Below are 26,346 nucleotides of genomic sequence, written 5' to 3'. Positions count from 1 at the left end.
TGACCATTGCCCTGGGCATCTCCGGTGTCAATGGAGAGAGGAATAGAGAAAGGAGGGCCTTGTGGGGTGGGGGTGGCTGCCATCCAGGTGCCGCGTCCCGGACCAGATCTATTCTGTTGGTTTGACCATTGCCCTGGGCATCTATGGTGTCGATGGAGAGAGGAATAGAGAAAGGAGGGCCTTGTGGAGCAAGAGTGGCCAGAATCACGGATGCTGTTGGCCACCTGAGGAAAGCCAGGGCTGAAAGCATGCTCTTCACACCGCGAGGAGCTCCTGAAAATGTCATGGAAACTCTGAGAAAATATGCTATGTCTACACACACCACGTCTCACATGAGCTGAGGGGTGCTCATGTTCCTTCATGCCTGTATGTGTCCTCCTGGCTGCAAATTCCTGAAGGAAAGGGAAGGAGGGCTGGCACCCATACCCCAGACAGTTCAGAGAAAGCCACCAGTGTCCCAGTCTGAAGGAGGAGTAAACAAAGATGGCTACAGGCTCATGGGTAAGATGAATGGAAGAGAGTGGACAGACACCCAGATTTAAAAAACAGAGGGCATTTCATTAATTAGCAGCAGTTAAGTTCCCATGAGCAAGACGGCAAATGGGGAAAAGAAATGCTGTGATTTCTGAAGGTCACATTTACCCCTTACGTAGGGGGAATGAAAGTAAATTAAACCCTACGAACAGAGAGTGACAGGCAGCGCTAAACCAGCAGATAATCCCCTGCCTCCCACCACTGAAAATGCATTTTCCACCAGACTGACAGGTGCTCTGCCTGGGGCAAAATGACTCAGGGTCACTCTGCCATCCCGACACCGGCATCTGGAATCAGGTCTATTCATTCCATGGTTGGGACTATCATTTCATTAGGCACCTTTTTTTTTTTCTTTCTCACCTTTCAATTATTCTAGGCCACATAATCTGGTTTCTTGTGGGCTCTGAGTCTATGAACCGATAATAATCCATATGTTTAAACATGAGAAAATAAATGTCAGGGAAGTAAATAAGCGAGCTACTTTGGATGCACATTCCTGGGTGCAGATGGGCAGAAGGAGGCTGTTTATCATGGCCACAGACAGGTGAGCTGTGAGGAATTAGGAACCACAGTAGACAGGCTCTGAAGATGACCACCGGGCTGCCGGCTCTCAGGCTGTGCAGCTGCGTTTCTGAGCCAGAATTTCAATAAAAGAGCAAGGTTCCTCAAAGTTAAGGCCAAATGGAGACAGTGAACTTGAATCGGCCCAGCAGGGACAGGCAAAGCGGAGATTCACAGGGGTGGGGAGAGAGGCTGGTTTCAGAAGGAAAGGACAGAGCCGGAGGGTGGGGAGGCAGCCTGTCCAGCTGGCCTTCCACAGCCCTGCCACCAACATGGCCTGGGACACTCCATGTCTGTCCAGTACCCTGTGTTATGGTCCAGTACCTTCCAGCCGTCATCTGAGACCTGACCTAGGCAAAGAGGGTGGGTGGGATCTCTCATCCTGGACAGGTGCGCATCCACCCCCGCAACTTCCTCTCCCATCTGACAGCCAGCTGGTGACATTCCCAGCAGGTGGGTCAAGCCCTCTTGAGATAAAAGGCTATGTGTGCAGTGCCTGCGGCAGTGACGTGATTAATTGTGTCTGCGGTGGAGGCTTTGCTCTGAAGGAATGACCTGAGAATAAACCTGTCTTCACAGGTGTTTAGGTTCCTGGAGGGTCACACAAAGCATACAGATCACAATGTCCGTCTGACTTGGCAGAACAGGCTGGTGGGTGGCTGACAGCACTCAGCCATCACGGGTGGGTCTGCAGAAGGGGCTGGTGGGTTGGCCGACAGCACTCGGCCATCACGGGTGGGTCTGCAGAAGGGGCTGGTGGGTGGCCGACAGCACTCAGCCATCACGGGTGGGTCTGCAGAAGGGGCTGGTGGGTGGCCGACAGCACTCGGCCATCAAGGGTGGGTCTGCAGAACGGGCTAGTGGGTGGCTGACAGCACTCAGCCATCAAGGGTGGGTCTGCATAACGGGCTGGTGGGTTGGCCAACAGCAGTCAGCCATCACGGGTGGGTCCGGCTCCAGGAGAGGGGGAGAGACTGGCTTCTGAGGAATGTCACCGATGGGGACAGCACTAACATTTGCCCTGGGAACTGAGGGGGGAACCATGAGGAGGTGTGTGATGAAAATACCCAAGCTGGTGTCAGCGGAAATCAGTTTGACTCAGCTCAAAATACCCACGCTGCGCTCAGCCGAACTATAAAAAACAGGAAGGAACAGGTGACGCCCTTGGAGTGTAGAGGGGAAGAAAGGAAGTCACAGGCGCGATGGGAATAGATTTACTTTGTGATGCAGCCGAGAATGTGCTGCAGGATTATTATTAGGATTGTATTGCTCTCTCACGTAGATGTATGTGTAAATAAGACTTCAGAGGGATTAAAAAATATCATTCAGATGACACTTCAAAAACGTACAGAAATGGAACTAAAAGCTAAGAGATGTACCAGGACGAGCCACGCATCCATGAAAGCACCTTTGCTCATGAAGTCGGTGGGAGTCAAAGCAGGTCTTGAGTTTCACAGAGTGAACGGGCTCACTGTCTTGTTCTTCAGACACTGGTTACTGTACGCCCTATAATCCCAACAGAACAGTGATGCCCTCTTTTGAAGGATGCCCTGGGCTCCTCATATTTCCTTATTCAAAAGGAGTGTTGGCCAGCTCTGCCTCCAGCAAAATTAAACTTGAGAAGAGTAACTACAAAAACCATTTTTCTTTATAATGAAGAAGACATTTTAATGAAATCCTAGAAGAGCTACTTCTAAGATTTCCTAGGGGAGAGAAAAAAACAAGAAATGGGACCTGAAAATTGAACCTTTCCATTTGGTTACAAAGAGTAATGATCTCCTATAAATCACACACTAGAAGCATTATTGAATAGTTGGTGAACAGTAATTCTGTCTGACAAGCCTTTTGTTGAGCTCCCCAAGCCGGCAGGTGCCACTCGTGTTCTGCCGTGGACCACGCGAGGGTTCTGTCTTCCTCTCCGCTCGGCCTTGCGGTGGGTCCCGGGATGACAAGCAATGTTCCTGAATTATGGGGGTCAACGACTTTGTAGGGCTTTAGGGTGGTGACCTGACCCAGTATGGAAGACGTTTACTCCCAGCCGCTCATTGATCCTCACGAAACAGCCTGCAACAATCAGCGGGGCACCTCCAAAGCAAAACGCTGGGGTGCGGAGTGCTCTCATTTTGATGCCTGCTCACCATTATGGGCTCTGTTTTCCATACCTAGGGCACTTCAGGGGGATGAAAAGGTATCAGGCTGCTCCATGATTTCTCAGTAGATGCTGTTAGAGTTACAGCTAAAACCTGCTCCCCCGGCTTTTTTTTCTTTTTTAACGTTTATTTTAGAATTGAGGGTACACATGCAGGTGTGTTATGTAGGTTGATTGTGTGATGCTGAGGTTTGGGGTATGACGGATACTGTCACCCAGGTAGTGAGCACAGTAGTTCCCGGTGTCTTGTTCCCGTCTCTGTGTCCACGTGTGCCCAATGTTTAGCTCCCACTTATGAGTGAGAACGTGCAGTATTTGTGTTGATTCACTTAGGATAGTGACTCTGACTACACCCGTGTCTCTGCGAGGACATGATCTCATTCTTCCTGATGGCTGCGTAGTATTCCATGGTGTGTATGCACTATATTTTCTTTATTCAATCCCCCTTTGATGGGCATCTAGGTTGAGGCCATGTCTTTCCTGTTGCGAATAGTGCTGTGATGTCTGTATGGGGGCATGTGCCCTTTGGAAGAATGATTTATTTTTCTTTGGCTATATACCTAGTAATAGCATTATGGGGTCAAACGGTAGTTCAACTCTCAGTTCTTTGAGAAATCTACAAACTGCTTTCCACAGGGGCTGAACCAATGTACGCTCGCACTGGCAGTGTATAAGCATTCCCTTTCCCCATAGCCTTGCCAACCTGTTAAACAGGTTATTTTTAACCTTTTAACAAAAGCCATTTTTGACTGATGTGAGATCGTATCTTACTGTGGTTTTGATTTGCATTTCTCAGATGATTACTGATGATGAGCATTTTATCATGTTTTCTGCCCACTTGTATGTCTTCTTTCTTTTGAGAGGTGCCTACTCATTGGTCATAATCAAAGAATCAAAAAATAATGTTGGCGTGGACGTGATAAAAAGGAAACACTTCTGCACTGCTGGTGGGAATGTAAACCAGTACAACCACTATGGAAAACAGTGAGGAGATTCCTTGAAGAACTAAGAGTAGACCCACCGTTTGACCCAGCAACCCCACTCCTGAGTATCTACCCAGAGGGAAAGAAGTCGTATGAAAAAGACACTTGCACACACGTGTTTATAGCAGCACAATTCACAATCACAAAAACACGGAACCAGCCCAAATGCCCATCAATCAATAAGTGGATAAAGAAACTGTGGTATACATATACCATGGAATACAAATCAGCCAAAAAACGGAATAAAATAATATCATTCTCAACAACCTGGATGGAGTTGGAGACCATTATTCTAAGGGAAGTAACTCAGGAATGGAAAGCCAAATATTGAATGTTCTTGCTTGTAAGAGGGAGCTAAACGATGAGGATGCAAAGGCGTAAGAATGATACAATGGACTTTGGGGACTCGGGGGGAAGGGGTGAAGGATAAAAGACTACACATTGGGCAGAATGTACACTGCTCATGTATTAGTCTGTTTTCATGCTGCTGATGAAGACATATACAAGACTGGGTAATTTACACAGAAAAAGAGGTTTAATGGACTCACAGTTCCACATGGCTGGGGAGGCCTCACAATCATGGTGGAAGGTGAAAGGCAGGTCTTACATGGTGGCAGACAAGAGACAATGGAAGCCAAGCAAAATGGGAAACCCCTCAGAAAATCATCAGGTCTCATGAGATGTATTCACTACCATGAGAACAGTATGGAGGGACCCACCCCATGATTCAGTGATCTCCCACTGGGTCCCTCCCACAACAGTGGAGATTATGGGAGCTGCCATTCACAATGAGATTTGGGTGGGGACACAGCCAAACCATACCATAGCCTACACCGTATTCAAGACAGCGCATCCCATCACCCCAAAGCTCGCTTGAGCCCTGCTGCAGCTAAACCCCTCCCCAGTCTCCAGCCCCTGGAAACCACAGATGCAGCTTTTTCCCTTCAGTTCTGCCTTTTTGAGAATGTGATATGTGTAGAATCAAACTGCAAGCAGCCATTTTCTGGTTGTTTTACAACGTGGACCAACTGAACACCTTCGCCTCCAGCCCCGCAGTGGATCTGAGATTCTCCCTCACTGCAGGCTCCGTTCTCCGTTCCTCTCATCCCTGAGTGGCAGTCTGCTGGGCGGAGGAACCTTCTTCTGTTCATCTACTCAGCCCCTGAAGGGCATTGGGTGGTTACAGGTTTTTGGTGATTATGAATAAAGCCGATATAATCATTTGTGGGCTGGGCACGGTGGCTCACGACTGTAATCCCAGCTCTTTGGGAGGCCAAGACGGATGGATCATCTGAGGTCAGGGGTTTAAGACCAGCCTGGCCAACATGGTGAAATGCTGTCTCTACTAAAAATACCAAAATTAGCCAGGTGTGGTGGCAGGTGCCTGTAATCCCAGCTGCCTGGGAGACTGAGGCAGGAGAATCGCTTGAACCTGGGAGGCGGAGGTTGCAGTGAGCTGAGATCAAGCCACTGCACTCCAGCCTGGACAAAGCAAGAGTCCATGTCAAAAAAAAAATTGTGTGAATTATATTGTGAGGACATAAGTTTTCCCTCATTTTAGGGAAATATTTAGGAATGGAATGTATGGGCCATGTGAAAAGTATATGCTTAACTTTTTAAAAACTGCTAAACCAGTTTCTAAAGCAGTTACTCTGTTTTGCATTTTATGGGAGTTCAACTCACTGTGCATCCTTGTCACCCCAGCTAGGGTTTTTCTAATTTTAGTCATGATAGGGTTAACTTTCTGCAGAGACCACTGTGGCTGGCTGGCAGCTGCACCCCTTGCCTCATCTGTAGAAAATACCTGCTGAGCTTCGATTCTGAACCTGTATATCTTGAGGATTGTTTACATCATGTATTATTCCATCCTCCTCAATCTGACCTCAGCGTCTCCACTGCTGGCACTCGGGCCCGAGACCCTGACATTTCCTGCTTCATCTCCTTGCTTCTACCCTTGTCCTTGTTTAGTGATTTCAAAAGAAACAAAGTGGAAGCAATTCTGGAAATATGTATACCAGACCATGTCATTCTCACTAAAAAACAAAATGAAAATCACCAACATAACAAAACCAACTGCAAGGGCCACACCCGCTTTGGGATTTACCAGAAGGGCCTGAAGGGATGATGGCACCTGCGCCCCTGGCCTCCCTCCCAGCTGCGTCCTCTCCTGCTCCGGCCCTGCATCTGGTGCACAGCCGCTCTACCGCATGGCTCAACCCCCCTCCCCTCCCAACATGGCGGCAGGCATCCCTCCTGCTGCAAGGATTTCCTCCAGCATCACCTCCCCAGTGCGGCCCCGTCTGAGCTCTGCATGTCCTGCTCTGCGTTCTCACTGTGGAGGGGCACTTGTTTACGCCTCAGGCCCTCTGTCTCACTCCCACGCTCAATCGTGGCTGCTATGAGACCAGGGCTTGTTGGTGCTCACTGCTTTATCCTTAACGTAGTGCCTGGCACAGAGACCACCGCTAAATACAAGTTTATTTAATGAAGGATTAAAGAACGATTTAATGATGTTGTACTGGGCACAAGAAGTGGTTGCAATCACAACCGTTTACGGACCGCAGGCCTGCGCAGAGCCCCATTCAACTGTCACGGCACTTGTGAGCTCCTGGAAGAAAAGAAGACTTGGAGAGTTTGATGTGATTTCACCCAGCTTTAGCCACAAAGGTGGGATTTGAACCCAAGGATGGGAGTAGCAAGGGTGAATTCCTACACAGCATGGTCCGTCACCAGCTGCTGATGGATATGAACCCTTCTTGGTCTTGAAGAGGCATTTCCCATGCTCATAAAGGGAGGTGTGTGGGGTGGTTGTTTGAGGATCCCTTAATTCAGGGATGAGTGGGCTGTGGGCAGGAGGTGAGAGGAGGTTAGGAGGGAGGCTGGGGAGGGGAGGGCGTCGCAGAGGAGGTTAGGAGGAGGCTGGGAGGGGAGGGGAGGGCATCGCAGAGGCTGGGTTGGCCATGGTGCACAGGCCTCTGACAGAGGTGAGGAGGCTGGGGATGTCCTGCGTCACAGGCAGATGGAAGCCTTGTTTGGGAGCTGTGCTGGGGACAGAGTGTGGAGGTCAGCAGCTGGCGGGAAAGGCTGGAGGGGTCGGGAAAAGCTGGAGGGGTCGGGAAAGGCTGGAGGGGTCGGGAAAGGCTGGAGGGGTCGGGAAAAGCTGGAGGGGTCGGGAAAGGCTGGAGGGGTCGGGAAAGCCTGGAGGGGTCGGGAAAGGCTGGAGGGGTCGGGAAAGGCTGGAGGGGTCGGGAAAGGCTGGAGGGGTCGGGAAAGCCTGGAGGGGTCGGGAAAGGCTGGAGGGGTCGGGAAAGGCTGGAGGGGTCGGGAAAGCCTGGAGGGGTCGGGAAAGGCTGGAGGGGTCGGGAAAGGCTGGAGGGGTCGGGAAAGGCTGGAGGGGTCGGGAAAGGCTGGAGGGGTCGGGAAAGCCTGGAGGGGTCGGGAAAGGCTGGAGGGGTCGGGAAAGGCTGGAGGGGTCGGGAAAGCCTGGAGGGGTCGGGAAAGGCTGGAGGGGTCGGGAAAGGCTGGAGGGGTCGGGAAAGGCTGGAGGGGTCGGGAAAGGCTGGAGGGGTCGGGAAAGGATGGAGGGGTCGGGAAAGGCTGGAGGGGTCGGGAAAGCCTGGAGGGGTCGGGAAAGGCTGGAGGGGTCGGGAAAGGCTGGAGGGGTCGGGAAAGGCTGGGGGAGTCGGGAAAGGCTGGAGGAGTCGGGGAAGGAGTCGGGGAAGGGGAGGCCGTGGTCGGTGATGCCTTCATCATGGAATATCCACGTGGAGCTACAGGATCTTAAAATGGTAGGATTGTGCCGAGAGATTAGTCACTTTCACTTTTGTTCTGTTAAACTATTTATTCAGTGGCTTGGGATTTAGTCAAACATCAAATATTTAAGAGAGAATAGAATAGGATTCCAATATGTGCTTCTGCGTGTGACTGGCCCATGGATTTTGTTGTATTTAAACGATTCTGTGAAAGTATTCAGAAGAGAGCAGGTGGCGGGAGGGATTTCAGCAGGGATGATATTAAACATATCTATCAGCTGCCATGCCACTGCATCGGCCACTCAGAATGAATCCAGCTCCCACTGTGGTGGACTCAGGTTGTAAGGAACCAGCGGGGCTCACTTGGTGGCACCAGCTGAGGGATGAAGGATGGCATTGGGGGCTGAGAAGTGCTGGATGGAGCACCTGGCTGCCAGGACTTAACACAGGCGACAGTGTAGACGTCCAGCGAGACAGCGGAGTGAAGCATCCATGGTCTGGCATGATCCTGTCTTTCAGCAGCCACAACTGAGGCTTTTCTTTGGAGACAGGGTCTGGCCCTGTCACCCAGGCTGCAGTGCGGTGGCATGATCACAGCTCATTGCAGCCTTGACCTCCTGGGCTCAAGTGATCCTCCTGCCTCAACCTCATGAGCAGCTGGGATCGCAGGCACACACCACCAGGCTTGGCTAATTTTTTTTTCTTTTTTTTTTTTAGGGATGAGGTCTCCCTATGTTGCCCAGGCTGATCTTGAACTTCTGGGCTCAAGCAATCCTCCTGCCTCAGCCTCCCAAAGTGTGGGATTACAGGCATAAACCACCACGCTTGGCCCTCAAATGAGTTTTATAGGAGTCTGTATTTTGTGCATCTCCTGGAGAAATAATCGAGGGTCATACATGGACTTTTAAAGTTGGTTCCTCTCAAACAATGGCAGCACTTCAAGGAGGGCCCATTTCTGGGGTTGGTTTTATTTAGGGCAACAAATAATAAATTTAATACAAAAAAGAATTCTCAGGCACGTGCAGAGCAGGTGCTTCTGACGTGAGAATCATCTTGGGGTGAGGCAGATGCATTGGTGATTTCACGTTGCCCAAGAGCTGCCAGTGAAAATACGAATACGTGGGAGGTTCTTCTGAGGAAGCTCAGTAAGGCAGCGAAGGAGCAGGCAAGGTCCTCAGCAGCAGACGTCTCTCTCCAGGCTGCTTTCCAGTAGCTTCCGAAGAAACCTCTCCTGCACAGGAAATGGCAGAGAGGGATGTACTGCAGTTTGCTGCCCTTGGTGGCCACATGGAGGGTCTCCTGAGGAGATGGTGGCCACGCATTAACAGCCGGCTCCTAGGAGCCAGAATAAAGCCCGCTTCGCTCTCGTACGGGGCCTGCTGGGCAGGGAGCAGCTCAGAGCTGAATGCCGCAAGGTGTTGTCCTGGGAGCCAGGGTGGCTGCTGTCACGGCCACTGCTGCTGGCCACAGCCACCCTTCACTGTGCAGGAGCTGGGCGAGGGGAGGAAGCCCCAGGACTGGAGGATCTGCCACAGCTTTTAGGGCAGGCCTCTGCCTGGTGCTCACATCCCAGCTGGACACGGGGCGCCCAGCATGGATTTCTTTCATAGAATGAATGACAGGACATGTCATGCGTTGAACTGTGTCCCCTAGAAGGATGTGTTGACAGCCTCATCCCGGAGCCTGTGACTCTGACCTTGGTCTTTGCAGTGGCCCCAAGTTCAGATGAGGTCGTACAGAGGGAAGGTGGTCCTAATACCAGGACGATGTCTTTCTAAGGAGAGAGAGAGGCTGGAGTGAGCACAGCAGGATGGACACGGGAAGAGAGTCTGGGCCGGGCAGCGTGGCCCCAGGATGACGGTCACCACAAGCTGCTGGCATCCATGGAGAGTGGGAGGGAAGAGGAGGGTTTTCAGAGCCTGCAGTGGGAGTGCAGCTCTGCCCATGCCTCAGCTTTGGTCTTCTGGCATCCAGAATGGCGAGAAGATGCCTTTCTGTGGTTTACACTGCCCAGGCTGGAGTCACGTTTTACGGCAGCCCCAGTAAATAAAGCGAGGAATGCACTGGCCCCAAAGCACAGGCTTCCCAGGTTTCCTTCAAGGGTGGAGGGATGCCGGGGTCCTGACCTGGTGGCACCAGGAGCCTAAGGCTTGGGATCCATGTGTTGGAACAGGTGTGGTTCTCAGAACCCACCATGGCTGCTAAGGACTCAGGGCCAGCCCGGATCCATGCGATGTGAACCGGGGAGGTTCTCAGAAGAAACCATGGCTGTTGGGGACTCAGGACCAGCCCGGATCCACGCCGTGTGAACAGGCGAGGTTCTCAGAATGGACTGAGGCTGCTGGGGACTCAGGACCAGCCCAGATCCACGCCGTGTGAACAGGCGAGGTTCTCAGAATGGACCGAGGCTGCTGGGGACTCAGGACCAGCCCGGATCTACGCTGTGTGAACAGGGCACAATTCTCAGAACCGACCGAGGCTGCAGAGGACACAGGGCCAGCCCGGATCCACGCTGTGTGAACTGGGGAGGTTCTCAGAAGGGACCGAGGCTGCTGGGGACTCAGGGCCTGCCTGGACCTCCCTGCTCCTGTGACCCTGGGTCCACGTCTTTGGCAAGTGATTTCTGAAAGTGTCTCTGTACAGGGGTCAAGATGCAAGCCACAGCGCCCCCACTTTGCAGCACAAAGATTCTCTCTTAGAACAGGAGGCTGAAAGAATTAGCACGGTTCCAGCTGGGTAACACTTTTCAAAAATGTGTAGCCTCAGAACGTATTTATTTATTTATGTTTAGTGAAACAAAGCTGTATGATGTGGTGGCCTCCTGACCAGGGGGGATCTGGGATCTCAGAGCCAAGTCAGCTTCTCACCCTGGCGCCACCCCTGCAGCAGGGCGCAGGACCCCAAGGCACTGTGGGACACAGTTTGAGAACCACGGTGGTCTCTGCCACTCTGCCCCCCTTACTGGCAGCAGTGAGCTATGGAGAGCAGCCAGGCCACGCTCCCTTTAGTGATGGGACGTTGCCGTGGTTCTGTGCTGGGGGCTAAAATGTGCAGGCTTATGGGAAGGTGGGCAGGGCAGTCTGTCCACTTGACACGAACACTCCCTGAAACCCTCCCTCTGTGCACACCAAATGCCCGTGGTCTCCCATCCACTCAGCAAACGCCAGCTTGTGCTGGGCTCTGCCAAGGTAATGGGGGTCTGGAGCCGAGGTCACGGAGTCCCTGCCTTCAACGGGTCTAGTGAGGGGGCCTCTTGGTGAGTGGGGGTCCTGGGTCTCTCTGGAGCTCCTGGGAGGTGTCCTGAGGAGGTAGAAGGCAGAGCTCTGGGGGGCTGTGGGGGGCCGTGAATGGGAAGTACAGTCACATGGGGATGGGTCTGAGGAACAGGGACTGCAGGAGGACCATAAGGAGGGCTGGATGTGGATATGAGGGTGCAGTGGGGCTGGGGGGAGGGACCGTGGTGAAGGACACTCAGTGACATCCAACAGAGAAGCCATGCATGACGATGAGAGACCTCCTGGGCCCCTGCTGGACCCCTCCTCCCTCTGGCTGGATCTGGGACTGACCCTCCCAGGCCCCTGCCGGACCCTCCCTCCCTCTGGCTGGATCTGGGACTGACCATCCTGGTCCCGGGGCCGGGCATCCGTCTTCTTTATCACCCGGCAAAATCCCATCTGCCCACATCCCCCCCACTTTCTTGAAGCTTCAAAGTGTTCAGCCTTTCAGCCACTTTTTACAAAAATTTAAAATCACTTCTATAACTAGCTCTCTTTTAAACTAATTTCTAAAAGGTGTGTTTAGGCTGTAGTTAAGGGAAAAAAAAAGAAAAAGTAGAAAAAAGAAAGAAAAGAAGCAGCTTCTCCCTGGCCTGGTAGCTCCTAGGTTCTGGCCACTTCCTGGAAAACAGTAATTACCACACGTCTCACCAACCACATCACACCACTATCCACGCAATGGTGATCATTTCCTTCCTCTCACTGAGAGCTGCATGGCACACACAGCCTCTGTATCTAACAGAGAAATGCCACTGAGCAGAAATAGCAGCAGCTCTTTAATCCAAAATGTTACTACTATGAATTTAGGTAAGTTCTCGGCACCTGAGAGTTCTGGAAAGTACTGAAATTAAGGTTTTTATCACATATGGGCCAGACACACACACATACACACACACACACACACACAAATTGAGATGTCTGGAAAAGTTATACCCTGGTACCTGATACCCTGTGCCAAGAAAAAAAATTCCCTTTTGAGCCACCGTGTCTCCACAGGGTCACTGCACGCGTGGTTCCAGTGGGCAGATTTCCAGCCCAAAAGAGGAAAAGGGAGGGGGGAAATGTCTCCTGCGGCAGCCACGGCTGAGGATGAGGGTCGGCTGGGCCTCATCACTGCTCTGCTTGGCTCAGGTTGCCTGGCACCAAATTGTCAGTTAAGCCATTCAAGTCCAAATGATAAAAAAGCAAAGCCCACTCTGTGGATTAGTAAAGAGTCTAATATTTTATTTTACTGTCGGTTTGACCCCTCTGACTATTTCTCCATGTGGGTCAAGAGCACACTTGACTTCAACCTAAACGCTCCAACACGAATATGGTTAATTTATTACTCAAAATGCAAAGTATGTCAGACAGCACAAGCAGACGGCGCTGTCACGATGGATGCAACCGGCTTTCGCCCACGGTGCCCGCCTCATGACTCCCACGGCCTCTGCTGTAACGTTGGGAGTCTCTCTCTGACCTCCCACTCCGTTCACTGCTCCTTTCTCTCCCCAAGGCAGGGACCTTTCCCGGCCTTTCTGTCATGGCGTTGGCCATAAAGACATTCTCTGACCCACCTTTCTCATTGTGAGTCCCAAAACCCTCACCCCAGAGGGTCCTACCTCACGCCCCTGAGGAAGAAACGCGGCACAGAGGGGCCGGGAAGAGTCTGAACACATAGGCCTTGCTAGTTTCCACCCTTGGTCTGCTAGCAACACAGAGCGCAGCGACTTTCTCCAGTCCCATTTCCACACGGCTGTCTGAGCCTCAGTCACGCCCATCCAGTGGAGTCTCCACAAAACGCCCTAGCACTGGGATCGGGGTTTTTGTGGAGCTTCCAGACACCTGAACCCGTGGAGGTTCCTGGAGGGTGGTGCCCTGGGAGGCACAGAAACTCCATGCCCCTTCCCTTGCTCATCTCTTCACCTGTATCCTTTATAATAAACCACCAAACATGGGTGCTTCCCAGAGTTCTGGGAGCCACTCTAGCAAATTAATGGAACCCCACGCCCCTTCCCTCTGCTCATCTCTTCATCTGTCCCCTTCCCTCTGCTCATCTCTTCCCTTCGCTCTGCTCATCTCTTCATCTGTCCCCTTCCCTCTGCTCATCTCTTCCCTTCGCTCTGCTCATCTCTTCATCTGTATCCTTTATAATAAACCACCAAACATGGGTGCTTCCCAGAGTTTCGGGAGCCACTCCAGCAAATGAATGGAACCCACGTGTGGGGGGCTTGCAGGAGCCTCGGTTTACCACTGGCTGGTTAGAAGCTCCTGGAGCTTGTGATCAGCATCCAAAGTCGTGGGTGGTCTTGGGGACCCAGCCCTCCCCCTGTGGGACCTGAGGTTCCCGCCAGGTGAATGTGCTGAATTAGGGGATCCCTGGCTGGTGACCCCTGCAGAGCTGGTCACCTGCTGGGTGGTGGGGAGAAGCCCCCAACATTTGGTCATCGAAGTCTCCTGTGTTGGTTGCTGTTGAGTGAGAAAATAGAAAAACCACTGTGGTGTGTTTTCCCTCACATGGTTTGTGCTTTTTCTCTACTCAGATACTACTTTTTTTTTGTGAAGAGTGATTCTATGTCCTCCTCTGAAACTCTTGCATAGGAAGGTCAGCTTCTGATATGATAATGATCATCCTGCTGCAATCTGATGGCCTCTCTACGTCCCGGTGCTTCGCTGGAGGCCAGGACGGTGAGGCGTGAGGCAGTGAGCCCTTCTGGCCCCCAAGGTCACTTTCAGCATGGAGAATGAAAGGTGAGGGACGTGTCTCCAGCCCCTGACAGCTCTTCCTGGCCCTGTCTCCCCTCTATCTGCCTTCAGTCATTGGAGACAGTGACTAGCTGCCTGGGAGCTCAGCAGGAAGGGAGCTGTCCTGGAAGAGAGCCGTCCTGGAAGGGAGTCGTCCTGGAAGGGTATTGTCCTGGAAGGGTGCTTTCCTGGAAGGGTGCCGTCCTGGAAGGGAGCTGTCCTGGAAGGTGGCTTTGGGGATGGTGACTTACTGCCTGGGAGCTCAGCTGGAAGGAAGCCAGCCTGAAAGGGAGCTGTCCTGGAAGGATGCCATTCCGGAAGGGTGCCATCCTGGAAGGGCGTTGTCCTGGAAGGGTGCCGTCCTGGAAGGGTGCCGTCCTGGAAGGGCGTTGTCCTGGAAGGGTGCCATCCTGGAAGGGCGTTGTCCTGGAAGGGTGCCGTCCTGGAAGGGAGCCGTCCTGGAAGGGTGTCGTCCTGGAAGGGAGCCGTCCTGGAAGGGTGTTGTCCTGGAAGGGAGCTGTCCTGGACGGGTGCTGTCCTGGAAGGGAGCTGTCCTGGATGGGTGCTGTCCTGGAACGTGGCTTTGGGGACAGTGACTTGCCTGGGAGCTCAGCTGGAAGGAAGCTCTTCAGGAAGGCGGCTGTTGCGACATTCAGTGAATTCTGTTGATTTCCCTTTTTTTCCCATGATACTTTGGTCTTTTTCTTCCAGGTTTCAGCTCCTTCCTCAGTTGTTATGTGCCTGATATTTTTCCTCTTCCCTCAGGACAACTGTGAAAGCTCCACGTGTCCCAGGAGCGCGTGCAGCTCCCTGGAAGGCCCAGGTCACAAGATGGAAAGAAAACCCCAGCAGAGCTTGTGAATCAGCTCAAACCACACCATCGCCTCCACAGCTCCTGAAGCCCTCGTGGCTGCACCTGCTCGCCCACCCCGTGCTCCAGGCCCATCTGACGGAGGAGGGCCTGGGCCGCTCACACCATGTTCAACGTGGCCAGTGCCTGGTCAGCAAGTCTGTTTTCACGAATGCTTGCTGGGAAATGCAAGTGAGATTTGGGTATCCCGACCGCCTCCTGGATGGGATTGCTTTGTTTGACACATGTTCAGAACTCAGGCTTAAACCACTGGACCCCTCAACGCGAGGCCGGACCAGCTCGGGGCCACCCGGGGCAGGAGCGTCCTGGGAACAGGACCCTGAGCCAACCATACCCGAGGCTGCCTGACCCTGGCTTTGGACGGTGGGTTCGAAGGGAGTTCCTGGGGAGCATGGGTGGTCCCTGGACACACTACATAGCCATGCTGGGTTCTCTCTGAGTGGCTTTCTCTGTCAGTTCATCATATGTATTTTATGACACACGTAACGCAGTTGCTCCCACTATTTCATCAATAACCAAAACCAGCACAAACGCTGGGGCCGCTTGTCTCATCAGCACCTTCCCTGATCTTTTTCTTTTGTTTTTTTGAGACAGATTCTTGCCCTGTCACCCAGGCTGGAGTGCAATGGCATGATCTCAGCTCACTGCAGCCTCCATCTCCTGGATTCAAGCGATTCTCCTGCCTCAGCCTCCCGAGTAGCGGGGATTACGGGCACACACCACCACGCCAGGCTAATTTTTGTATTTTTAGTAGAGATGGGGGCTCACCATTTTGGCCCAGCTGGTCTTGAACTCCTGACCTCAAATGATCCACCCGCCTCAGACTCCCAAAGTGCTGGGATTACAGGCGTGAGCCACTACGCCTGGCCCACTTGAACTTTAATTTTACTTCCAACTTCTCATGGAATGGGATGAGGGCAACATGTGTTTGAGCCATTTGCTGGGAAGTAACATTTCCTTCTTGAACTAATCGTTTCAGATAAAATAGATCCTAGAAATCAGAAGCCGCCGCCGTGTGGGGGCCTGAGGGCTGCTGTATCTCACGGAGATGAGGCTTGTTCAGGAGGCATCCCTGGCCTCTGCGGGGGGACGTGGCTCCCTGGGCCTGAGATGGTACATTCCTGGTCCCTTCCCCTTCCCCAGCCACCCACGCTGGCAGCCTGAGTCCTGGAGGCTGAGCTACTGCAGGATGACCGAGTGCGGGAGGAACTGAACTAATTCCCATCCACCCAAGGTAGCCACAGTCCCGTGACAGCAGCACCTTCTCCCAACCTGAACACCGCCCTTCTCCCTCCTCCTGGCCACCAAATCAGCGACTGCACCCAGCCCACGTGACAGCAGCACCTTCTCCCAACCCAAATGCCACCCTTCTCCCTCCTCCTGGCCACCAAATCAGCGACTGCACCCAGTCCTGTGACAGCAGCAGCTTCTCCCAACCCGAATGCCACCCTTCTCCCTCCTCCTGGTCACTGAATCAGCGACTGCACCCAGTCCTGTGACAGCAGCACCTTCTCCCAACCCAAATGCCACCCTTCTACCTCCTCCTGGTCACTGAATCAGCGACTGCACCCAGTCCTGTGACAGCAGCACCTTCTCCCAACCTGAACGCCACCCTTCTCCCTCCTCCTGGCCACCAAATCAGTGACTGCACCCAGCCCACCTGACAGCAGCACCTTCTCCCAACCCAAATGCCACCCTTCTCCCTCCTCCTGGTCATCGAATCAGCGACTGCACCCAGTCCTGTGACAGCAGCACCTTCTCCCAACCCAAATGCCGCCCTTCTCCCTCCTCCTGGCCACCAAATCAGCGACTGCACCCAGCCCACGTGACAGCAGCACCTTCTCCCAACCCAAATGCCACCCTTCTCCCTCCTCCTGGCCACCGAATCAGCGACTGTGCCCAGCCCACGTGACAGCAGCACCTTCTCCCAACCCAAATGCCACCCTTCTCCCTCCTCCTGGTCACCGAATCAGCGACTGCACCCAGTCCTGTGACAGCAGCACCTTCTCCCAACCTGAACGCCGCCCTTCTCCCTCCTCCTGGCCACCAAATCAGTGACTGCACCCAGCCCACGTGACAGCAGCACCTTCTCCCAACCCAAATGCCACCCTTCTCCCTCCTCCTGGTCACCGAATCAGCGACTGCACCCAGTCCTGTGACAGCAGCACCTTCTCCCAACCCAAATGCCGCCCTTCTCCCTCCTCCTGGCCACCGAATCAGCGACTGCACCCAGCCCACGTGACAGCAGCACCTTCTCCCAACCCAAATGCCACCCTTCTCCCTCCTCCTGGCCACCGAATCAGCGACTGTGCCCAGCCCACGTGACAGCAGCACCTTCTCCCAACCCAAATGCCACCCTTCTCCCTCCTCCTGGTCACCGAATCAGCGACTGCACCCAGTCCTGTGACAGCAGCACCTTCTCCCAACCTGAACGCCGCCCTTCTCCCTCCTCCTGGCCACCAAATCAGTGACTGCACCCAGCCCACGTGACAGCAGCACCTTCTCCCAACCCAAATGCCACCCTTCTCCCTCCTCCTGGCCACCGAATCAGCGACTGCACCCAGTCCTGTGACAGCAGCACCTTCTCCCAACCCAAATGCCACCCTTCTCCCTCCTCCTGGCCACCGAATCAGCGACTGCACCCAGTCCTGTGACAGCAGCACCTTCTCCCAACCCAAATGCCGCCCTTCTCCCTCCTCCTGGCCACGAAATCAGCGACTGCACCCAGCCCACGTGACAGCAGCACCTTCTCCCAACCCAAATGCCGCCCTTCTCTCTCCTCCTGGCCACTGAATCAGCGACTGTGCCCAGCCCACGTGAGAGCTGCTGATTTTGGTTTATGGAGGCAGAAACCCAGGCCAGGCTTTCCAAACTCAGTTCTGTCCAAATGGTACCCTTGTGTTTATGCTCTGGAGAGAGTCCTTTCTGATCCCTACCGACCCAAAGACTTGTGTGGAAATTATACTGAATAAAACCCACTGGCCACCCAGATGAGTAGGGCTGGTCTCCAGGTTTGTATATTGCAGTCTTTACCCATAAAGTATCTTCTCTGATTAGTAAAAACCATTCTTTACTCTTGATTCCAACCCAAAGTCTCCAAAGAGACTGTGCCACAAAACAAATTATGAGTTATCTCTTTAAAGTTGAGAAAATGTTACCCCCATCTAATATATAAAAAATGCACAAGAAATTATCTGTCTTCCTGCAAAAAAGAATCAAATTTTACAATTCTATCAATGAAAAACCTGTCACGAAAACCATCAGTGAAGAGACCGTCGAGTCACCATGCTCTGCTGTGATCCACTGTGGCTCCAGGAAGGCAGCCGTGACAGAGGGGAAGGAGAGGCGTCCCCTGCTCTGCTGGCTTCATCAGTAAAGCGACATGTTAATCTTCAAGGGGTTGTGTTGAGGACGACACGAAATCAGCTGATTAAAGTCCTAGCCAGCATCTGACACATTGAATTTACTCCACAGATATCTGTTCACAACATCAGAGCCCGTGGTTTAGTTTCTTCATAGTAAATTAAAACAAAATAGTCATAAGACACAAGTTCGATCATAAGCCACTTGTACACAGAGAACATGGCTCTGTTGTATTGGAGCAAGTGGTCTTCAGTGGAGGATTATTTCACAATGACAGGCTCAATTCTTAGGCTTATGTAGCTCCATGTTTCAAAGGAAGCATGGTGTGGACAGAAGCCCGGGGCCGCAGAACCGAGTCCGGCCACATGCCAGCGTCCTTCCTGCTCACGCTGCACGTGTTCTTGACATGGGATGGGTGTTCTCATGGTCCCTCTGTCAATTCCAGAACGTGAAAAGGTTTACTGACTTCATTCCATTACATAAAAACACCCGAGGTCCCGAACCTCTGTGAGTACTTTTTGCCCTGTGGGAGGCTGAGGTGGGTGGATCACTTGAGATCAGGAGTTTGAGACCAGCCTGACCAACATGGTGAAACCCTGTCTCTACTAAAAACACAAAAATTAGCCGGGCGTGGTGGTGCGCACCTGCAATTCCCGCTACTCGGGAGGCTGACACAGGATAATTGCTTGAACCTGGGAGGCAGAGGTTGCAGTGAGCCAAGATTGTGCCACTGCACTCCAGCATGGGTGACAGAACAAGACTCCATCTCAAAAAAAAAAAAAAAAAAAGAAAACAACAGAATTTAAAATGCCAGAGAGGGTGCTGGATGATCCTGACAGCTCTGTGAGTGCTCTAGGCCTGCTCCCATTTCCTACATATGTGCAATTAATCAATTTTATAAACAATACATGCTTGGTATTGCAGTTAATTTGAAGAAGAAATGAGCCCAAGCCCATTTAAAGTTTTCCTGACAGTGACAAACAAGCGTGCATGGAATAGAACATCTTTCAAGCATTCCTCAGTTGCAATATTAATTATGGATAATGAATATCATGACAAGTGACAATCTCTGAACGTGGCGCTTAAAATATTAACATGCTCAGCAGAATAGGGTGACCCCTGGGGCCTATGCATGTAAACCAGCTGGCTGTCACTCCTGTCTGGGACGCACGCTGGTCTTGTAGGGTGACACCTCAGGTATATGCATGTAAACCAGCTGGCTGTCACTCCTGTCTGGGACGCACGCTGGTCTTGTAGGGTGACCCCTGGGGTCTACGCATGTAAACCAGCTGGCTGTCACTCCTGTCTGGGACGCACGCTGGTCTTGTAGGGTGACCCCTGGCGTCTACGCATGTAAACCAGCTGGCTGTCACTCCTGTCTGGGACGCACGCTGGTCTTGTAGGGTGACCCCTCAGGTATATGCATGTAAACCAGCTGGCTGTCACTCCTGTCTGGGACGCATGCTGGTCTGTAGGGTGACCCCTCGGGTAGATGCATGTAAACCACCTGGTTGTCACTCCTGTCTGGGACACACACTGGTCTTGCACATTGGTGGGAAAGATGCTGAGTGGCCAGAGGCCCTAGCACAGCCTACAGAGCCCCATATCATGGGGACGCCCGACCCTGCTCTCTGTCCTGGGACACCCTGTGCGGCTGCCTTCTCCCACTCCTGTTTTCATGTCTGGATGCAGAGAAAACTCCCTGTGTTCTCTCAAAGCCGACACATCCTAGGTGGGTCCTGAAGGCTGTGTGCAAACCCTGTCTTCCCCAGGGAAGGCTGCTCTGAGCCCTGTCCTGCAACCTGAAGCCACACGCAGGTCTGTGCTGCTGGAGGCTCAGAGATTGTTTTGAGTTTGATAAAAAACCATAGACACATTTACACACCACTTTGCAGAAATTTGTAGGGTTTCATGAACTCCCTGAAGTCTGAACCATTATTCATGATGCCAGGTAACAATGCCTGTCTAAATATGTCAGGTTGAACCATAGGAAGATGGCATTTGTGAAGGTCAAAAACAGTGAAGTATCAGTCATCTCATCTGACTCAACACAATAAAAGGCCAGGTATGATACATGTTAGAATAACTTCTACCTGAAGGCATAAAACACAGTAAAAGGTTTTATCCTTACTGTGGGGAAGGTGCTCAGTTATTCAGAATACTAAACTAACTTCAATGACCAGAATTTTAAAAACTCAAAAATTTTGTGTTTCCAAACATGCTGCAGGAAGGCAACATAGAAGATCTTATTAAGATCAGACAACAGAGGCTGGGTGTGGTGGCTCATGCCTGTAATCCCAGCACTTTGGGAGGCCGAGGCGGGTGGATCACGAGGTCAGGAGATCAAGACCATCCTGGCCAACATGGTGAAACCCCGTCTCTACTAAAAACACATACAAAAAATTATATACATATACATATATATATATATAATTATATATACACACATATAAAAAATTATATATATATATATATATATATATATATATATATATATGATCAGAGAACAGAGACAATTGACAGGAGTTTAGCTTTTATAATTTCCCTGCATCATAGTTTAAAGGAATTTCATGAGCTGCAGAAATGTGCATGCCCTTGAAAATAGAATTAACAAAGAAAATGACAAGTAGTGAGTTGCGTGACTCTGCAGACAACAGCTATTTGTTGCCATCACTGAGGCATCCTGGAGGGAGGAAGGGCAACCTTCTGGGGGAGGCGTGGGACGGGGGAGGTGTGTGGGGCTACAATATTTGGCTTTCATGAAGGAAGTTATGCTTTGCATTAGAGGGAAGAGAAATATGGCAATTAACATAGTGAGGAAAAATTGCCTGTAAGAAAGATACCATTTTTAGTAAATACCAGATATCAGTTTATTTCAAAATGAAGCTGGTTTGCGAAGAACCATCTGTCTTATCAGAATTAAAGTTTCAACTTGCTGCCATCAGCTTGTCCTATTAGTATTCAAAGTAGATTTCTGGGCTACTAGTTAAGGATACAAACCTATGTTTCTAGGAGACCGAGTATAGATAAATATGCTGGAATACATTTCTCAGTAAATTTCTTACGGCATACACAGCCTCCAGGAAAACTCAGAGTTTCATTTTAGAGCAGGAGCAGGAACAATGAAGAAATCTAGTGGAGACGTTTGTTTTCTCTCTGCAACCATTTCTGTGGTTGCCAGCCATCGAACACGTCGATGAATTATGACTATAACTTGAGAACAACCCCTTGGAGTTAGATCTTGTAAAAATGTAGATAAGCAAAACAAATAAAATGGGATGAAAACGAATACACAAAAGGCCTACTCCAACATATTTCATCTGCTTGAATATAGGATACACTGAAAAATCTTGCAACTCCAATAAAATAGGAGTCTTTTATCAAATCACTAGGGGCACGGAGGGAACAAAGATGACCACATTGAAATGAAGCCCTGTGATCTGCAGGCCCAGAGCCAAGCAGCCCTCTGAACTCGGGAAAGGCTAATTGCAGGCCTGGGCGCCAGCGCTCATTAGTGTGCTGTGATGTGTTGTCACTGAGAGACCGCTCGGGGCCGGAGGGCAGGCACCGGGCTCATCGGCATCACAGAGCTCCCTGGCAAAACCGATTTCACCAGTGCACAGCCTGCTGACGTCCAACGACCAGAGTGCAGGCACCCGGGCTCACGGCATCACAGAGCTCCCTCGCAAAACCAATTTCACCAGTGCACAGCCTGGCACAGCCTGCTGACGTCCAACGACCGGGGCCTTCAGCGTTTGCTGGTTACCAGTCACATAAGGATCCTAGACAACTCTTCAACAATCGGTCTCATTTTATTTTTCTAATGATGCAATTTGTGTTTCTCTGGTGACACTTTTTCATTAATTAAATTGCTTAGTTTGCTGCAAAAAGGTGATGCTTCTGATAATAATTTTTACAAACCAGTTTTTACTATGAAATGGGCCTTTTCTGGGACCACATTATCACAATCCTTGGATTATGATTCAGCAGATTCTTGATCCGCTGTGTGCAAGCAGCAAAGGAGACACCAAAGTCAATTTTGAATCATTATGTGATTGCCTTGAAAATGCTTTGATGTTTAGATACACGGCACCATTAGTCAGGAAGACGACAGAATTTCGGTCATATTTAAAGGGCGTGATGAATACGTACAGGGTGGCAGCCTGGGAGAAGCGTGTGTGTAGAAACATTCTGTAACCCACAATGCTGCCAATGAGGAAGGCAGCGTGCAGCACACTCGGTGTTTGGCAGAGAGACTAGGGCGTCCTGTTTGCAAAATGCTGCAGAATCCGCAGCTTTCTTAGGAAAGAGGTGGCTCAAAAACCGGCATGAACTCACTCCTGAGTTCAACGCGACATGGGAGTCAAGCTTTGATCCATCGAAAGCTGCTGGGAGGGACCCAGGAGTTGGCCAACAACAGATTCCTCAGAATCCAATCAGCGAGCGGCCATCGGGCTGGTGTGCATCATGGGGCATCAGGTCTTTTTAAGACAAGATGATGTGTAATGGGTCTGACCACATGCTGGGGGCCTCGGATCCAGCCTCTCAGTCATGTTGATTGATTTCGTGCCGGGCAGAGGCCGAGACAGTGAACAAGACAGACCGACCGCCTGCCGTCCTGGAGTCTGTGGTCTGCCTGGAACGCTGCAGCCTTGCTGATGGGAGGAGGTGGTGCCTTCCGCACACTCACTCAGTGGCATGATGCAGCTGGGGTGAGGGTCAGGAAGTGCCTCTGGAGGATGCGACGCTTAATTAATATATAAATGGGGGGCGTGGATGTGACGCTTAATTAATATATAAATGGGGGGCGTGCCCCTGGCAGTGGGACTGGCCCTGGGCTGAGACAGCAGGACAAGCTCAAAGATGAGGTGCGCTCCGCCTCCACCGAGGCTGCAAGGAAAAGCAAAAGGTCCTGGCAAGCCTCTGTGTGTCAGGCGGACTGACTTCCTCCTCTCAGCCCTGCTCAGGCGTGAAGGACACGGGCAAAGCTGTCTAGGCTCAGGCCCGAATGTTGACATCTTCCTTTCAGCTCTCTCCCCGACAGCTGAGTCCTGACAGACCAGGGTCCCCCTGGGACCCCGAGGGGCAGGGGGACTCATGTGGACTTCAGTCTGCAGCGGCCTTGGCCCCACCATCGGGAAACCCCACCTGCAGGCAGGCAGCTCCAGAGGGGCCCTGCCCCAGCGCATGAGAATCAGTGCCTGAGATGGGCGGGACCCACCTGCACCTGCACCTGACTGGGCGTCCACGTGGAGCGCTGTGACCTTGAGCACTCACTGACTTGATGCCAGCATCTCCCTCTGGGCTTTAGACGGGCTCTCAGACCAGCCGCTCACAGGGTTGCCATGAGCTCATTACATTGCTCAAACCACCCCTCACGGCAGCCAAGGAGCTGATGATGTGTCTGGAACCTTCCTTGCATCCGGTATCCCCCCCTCCCCAGACCCCCAAGATGTAGCTGACAGTGCTCACGGGTGGCTGTGCCTTACCATGGGTGAATGTGTGGAAACTGGGGGCCCGATGGGCGGGGAAGCTCAGAGGTGGCTGTTCTTCCTGTCCTGGCCATCAGGTCATCCTGTCTGCATGACGGGAGGGTGGGCCACAGGACCACCAAAGGCCCTAACCTTCCATCATCCTGATGGGGTATCGAAGGTCTGAGTGCTCAGTGGGGGTCTCTGGGCCACTGACTTTATTCCTTTTCTACCTGCCTGTTCTGTGACTAGGATGCTGCTCATGACCTTGAACCACAAAACAGATATCTCAGCCCTCAAGCTGAACTCCCTTAGAGAAAAAGTGAAGTCAAAAATGTCCTTTGAGTTTTTGGAAATATCCAGCCCCTGGAATGGAGCTCGGAAATGTAAAGGGATCTTAATGGAGATGAATCTTGGCTTTCCTTGCAATGAACACTCACATTGGTCGATTTCAACCCACCCAGGAGGAAGCAGTGTTTTCTGCTCCTCTCCTCCAGGGGTGGGTTTCTGGTTCGAGTCACCACTACAGTTGCTGTGCCAGAAAGACCTGCCCTCCCCTCTGTGAAGTTGCCAGCAGGAACACCCTTGCCCTCAAACTCACGCAGGGACGGTAGTTTCAGTGTAGAGAAAAGATAAAAAAAAAAAACGTTACAGAGGAAGAAAAACCTCACTGTGTTCAGACTGCCATGGATGCTACTGTTCAGCAGCTGGGAAAGCTGGCAGTGGAACTCGGCCACCTCCCAAGTGGGGACGCTGTGGATGAAACCTTACGGGGACATCCTGCCGGGCGGCTGTGGACGTGCTTGTCACACAGACATACACACACATCCACAGAGGGTTTGCGAAGACCCGAACCCCATCCCCAGCCCAGAAAACATTCTCAAATCTCTTTGCATGTGGTTTCCATGGCTTCATCGTGCCTCAGATTTCAACTTTGCGATCTGTCATTCAACAGTGTTAACTTTCCACTCTGCCTTTCAGCGGATCCCACTGCCTGGCAGGAGGCCACGCCAGCCGACATCGCCTGCGCCACACGCCACATCTGGCTTTGTATCTGTGCACATGTCCACATTCCAAGACATGCAAAACCCCAAAGACAAAAATATCTCAGAGCATCTGAATATCCAGTTTCCATGGAGACTGAAATCAAAGTGAGCTGTCTAATGAGGGGGCGTTTTTCTTCATAATTCTTGCATGATGCCTTATGGGTTGGGAGTATGTTGAAACTCCTGCTGGTTACTATTCCAAACACATTTTCTAATAGGCAAGTGCATACTCTCGTGAGAAGAGTTGATGGGGCGGATTCTCCCGCTTCTCAGGCCCAGGTAGAGAGTTCGGCTGGGTGGATGGTGGTGTTGCAGGCACAGGTTGAATTATGCTTCTTGCAAGGGACCCCAAGAGACGTTCTGTAAGGTGTCACCAAACTCAGTTTGCAAATGACTGCACTCAAGAATAATCCACTTAAATTCTGGGTGTTTCACTCAGAATACATAATGATTTTCAATGCAGCCACGCCAACACTCCAGCATACACTCCGTTCTCTCTGTTAGGTATGGAATAATTAGGTCGACCCTAACAATAACCTACTTAAGAAGGTAAATTTCATTATGGGCTGTCTTTCTTTCTCAGACACTTGTGAAAGTACTCAAGAAGATAAATATGATGAAGGAAAAATACTTTTTCTCCCACTTGGTGACAGTCACACACCTCCCCAGGCTCCTCCTGCTTCTCCCCAGCCTGACCGGCCAGCACGGCCCATTCCCGTCTCCGTCCCAGCTCCGAGAACTGTGTGCCTAAGACCTTCCATCCTGGGCTCAGTAGGCCACCCCAGCCCTCTGCCCAGCGCGCTCCAATACCTGCGACGTTCCCCTTCCTGGCATCTCAGCTCCCGAGCAGTCTCCTCTACAAGGGATTTCTCTTCTGGTCATTTGTGTCCATTTGCACCCCAGAGAAATGTCTAACCCTTCACAGATGGCACTCAGTGTGTCTTCCTTTGAATTGTGGACTTCTCACGTCTCCTTCCCATCCATAACACCTGCCGCCCGACAAGTATCAAACCCCCATGATCCACTGCATGGTGGGGGCTCACAGGCCTTCGTAATAGACCTGGCCACCCCCCTTTTACAAAAACAGAGACTCTTTAATGGGCACCGTCCTGAGACAATCTGGTTTCATAGGCTGGGATCCATAGACCTGCGTTTCTAAGAAGCTCGGGTCCCCAGAGATGCTGGTCTGGGAAACACCTGGAGAACCACTGACCCAGCCTGACCCCGGCTGCTGTGGAGGCGACAGCTCAGCTGCCCAGCGCAGAACCCGCACAGAGCCTTTGCTGATAATGTTTCGGCATCTCCTGCCTCCTAAGTGGTCTGTTTCCCTCCAGAATTCTCCATCTCCTCTTCCCTGTGTCCTGCCTCCACCCTTTGCCTGGCAATTTAAGCCGGGCCACTGGGCCTCCAGCTCTCCCCGGAGCGCCCAGTGTCCCACAAGCTCAGAAGCATCGGGCATCCTAGCGGCCCTGAGATGACCATATTCCATGTCCACTGGTGCTGAATGCATCTTCCATTTGTTCTCATTCTCCTTCCCCAGCTGGGGCTGATGAACCTGTCGCACGCATAGCCTCGGCTCAGGGCTGATGTTTGGTGCTGTTCCCACAGTCACCTCTG

The 26,346-nt window shown here is 51.8% G+C and overlaps 1 protein-coding gene across 1 annotated transcript in view, besides 2 other annotated features; it reads right to left on the bottom strand.

Annotated features, from left to right (window-relative positions):
• DLGAP2 (DLG associated protein 2) overlaps positions 1-26,346 on the bottom strand; it is a 970,849-nt gene that overhangs the window by 229,792 nt on the left and 714,711 nt on the right. The window lies entirely within an intron of this gene.
• Positions 21,767-22,966: an enhancer, noted in NCBI's record as "CDK7 strongly-dependent group 2 enhancer chr8:1403885-1405084 (GRCh37/hg19 assembly coordinates)". NCBI's record gives its function as "activates an origin of replication core promoter dependent on BRD2, BRD4, P300/CBP, MED14 and CDK7 cofactors, with strong dependence on CDK7, by STARR-seq in HCT116 cells {active_cell/tissue: HCT116}" and the evidence as "EXISTENCE:reporter gene assay evidence [ECO:0000049][PMID:35650434]".
• Positions 22,499-22,648: a silencer, noted in NCBI's record as "fragment chr8:1404203-1404352 (GRCh37/hg19 assembly coordinates)". NCBI's record gives its function as "represses an EF-1alpha promoter that drives an FKBP-Casp9 reporter gene in an ReSE screen in phorbol 12-myristate 13-acetate-treated (for megakaryocytic differentiation) K562 erythroleukemia cells {active_cell/tissue: K562(+PMA)}" and the evidence as "EXISTENCE:reporter gene assay evidence [ECO:0000049][PMID:32094911]".

Source organism: Homo sapiens, chromosome 8 (assembly GCF_000001405.40).
Source record: "Homo sapiens chromosome 8, GRCh38.p14 Primary Assembly".
Taxonomy (NCBI): domain Eukaryota; kingdom Metazoa; phylum Chordata; class Mammalia; order Primates; family Hominidae; genus Homo; species Homo sapiens.
Note: the sequence above shows the minus strand (reverse complement) of the source record. Positions and strands in the feature narration are given on the sequence as shown.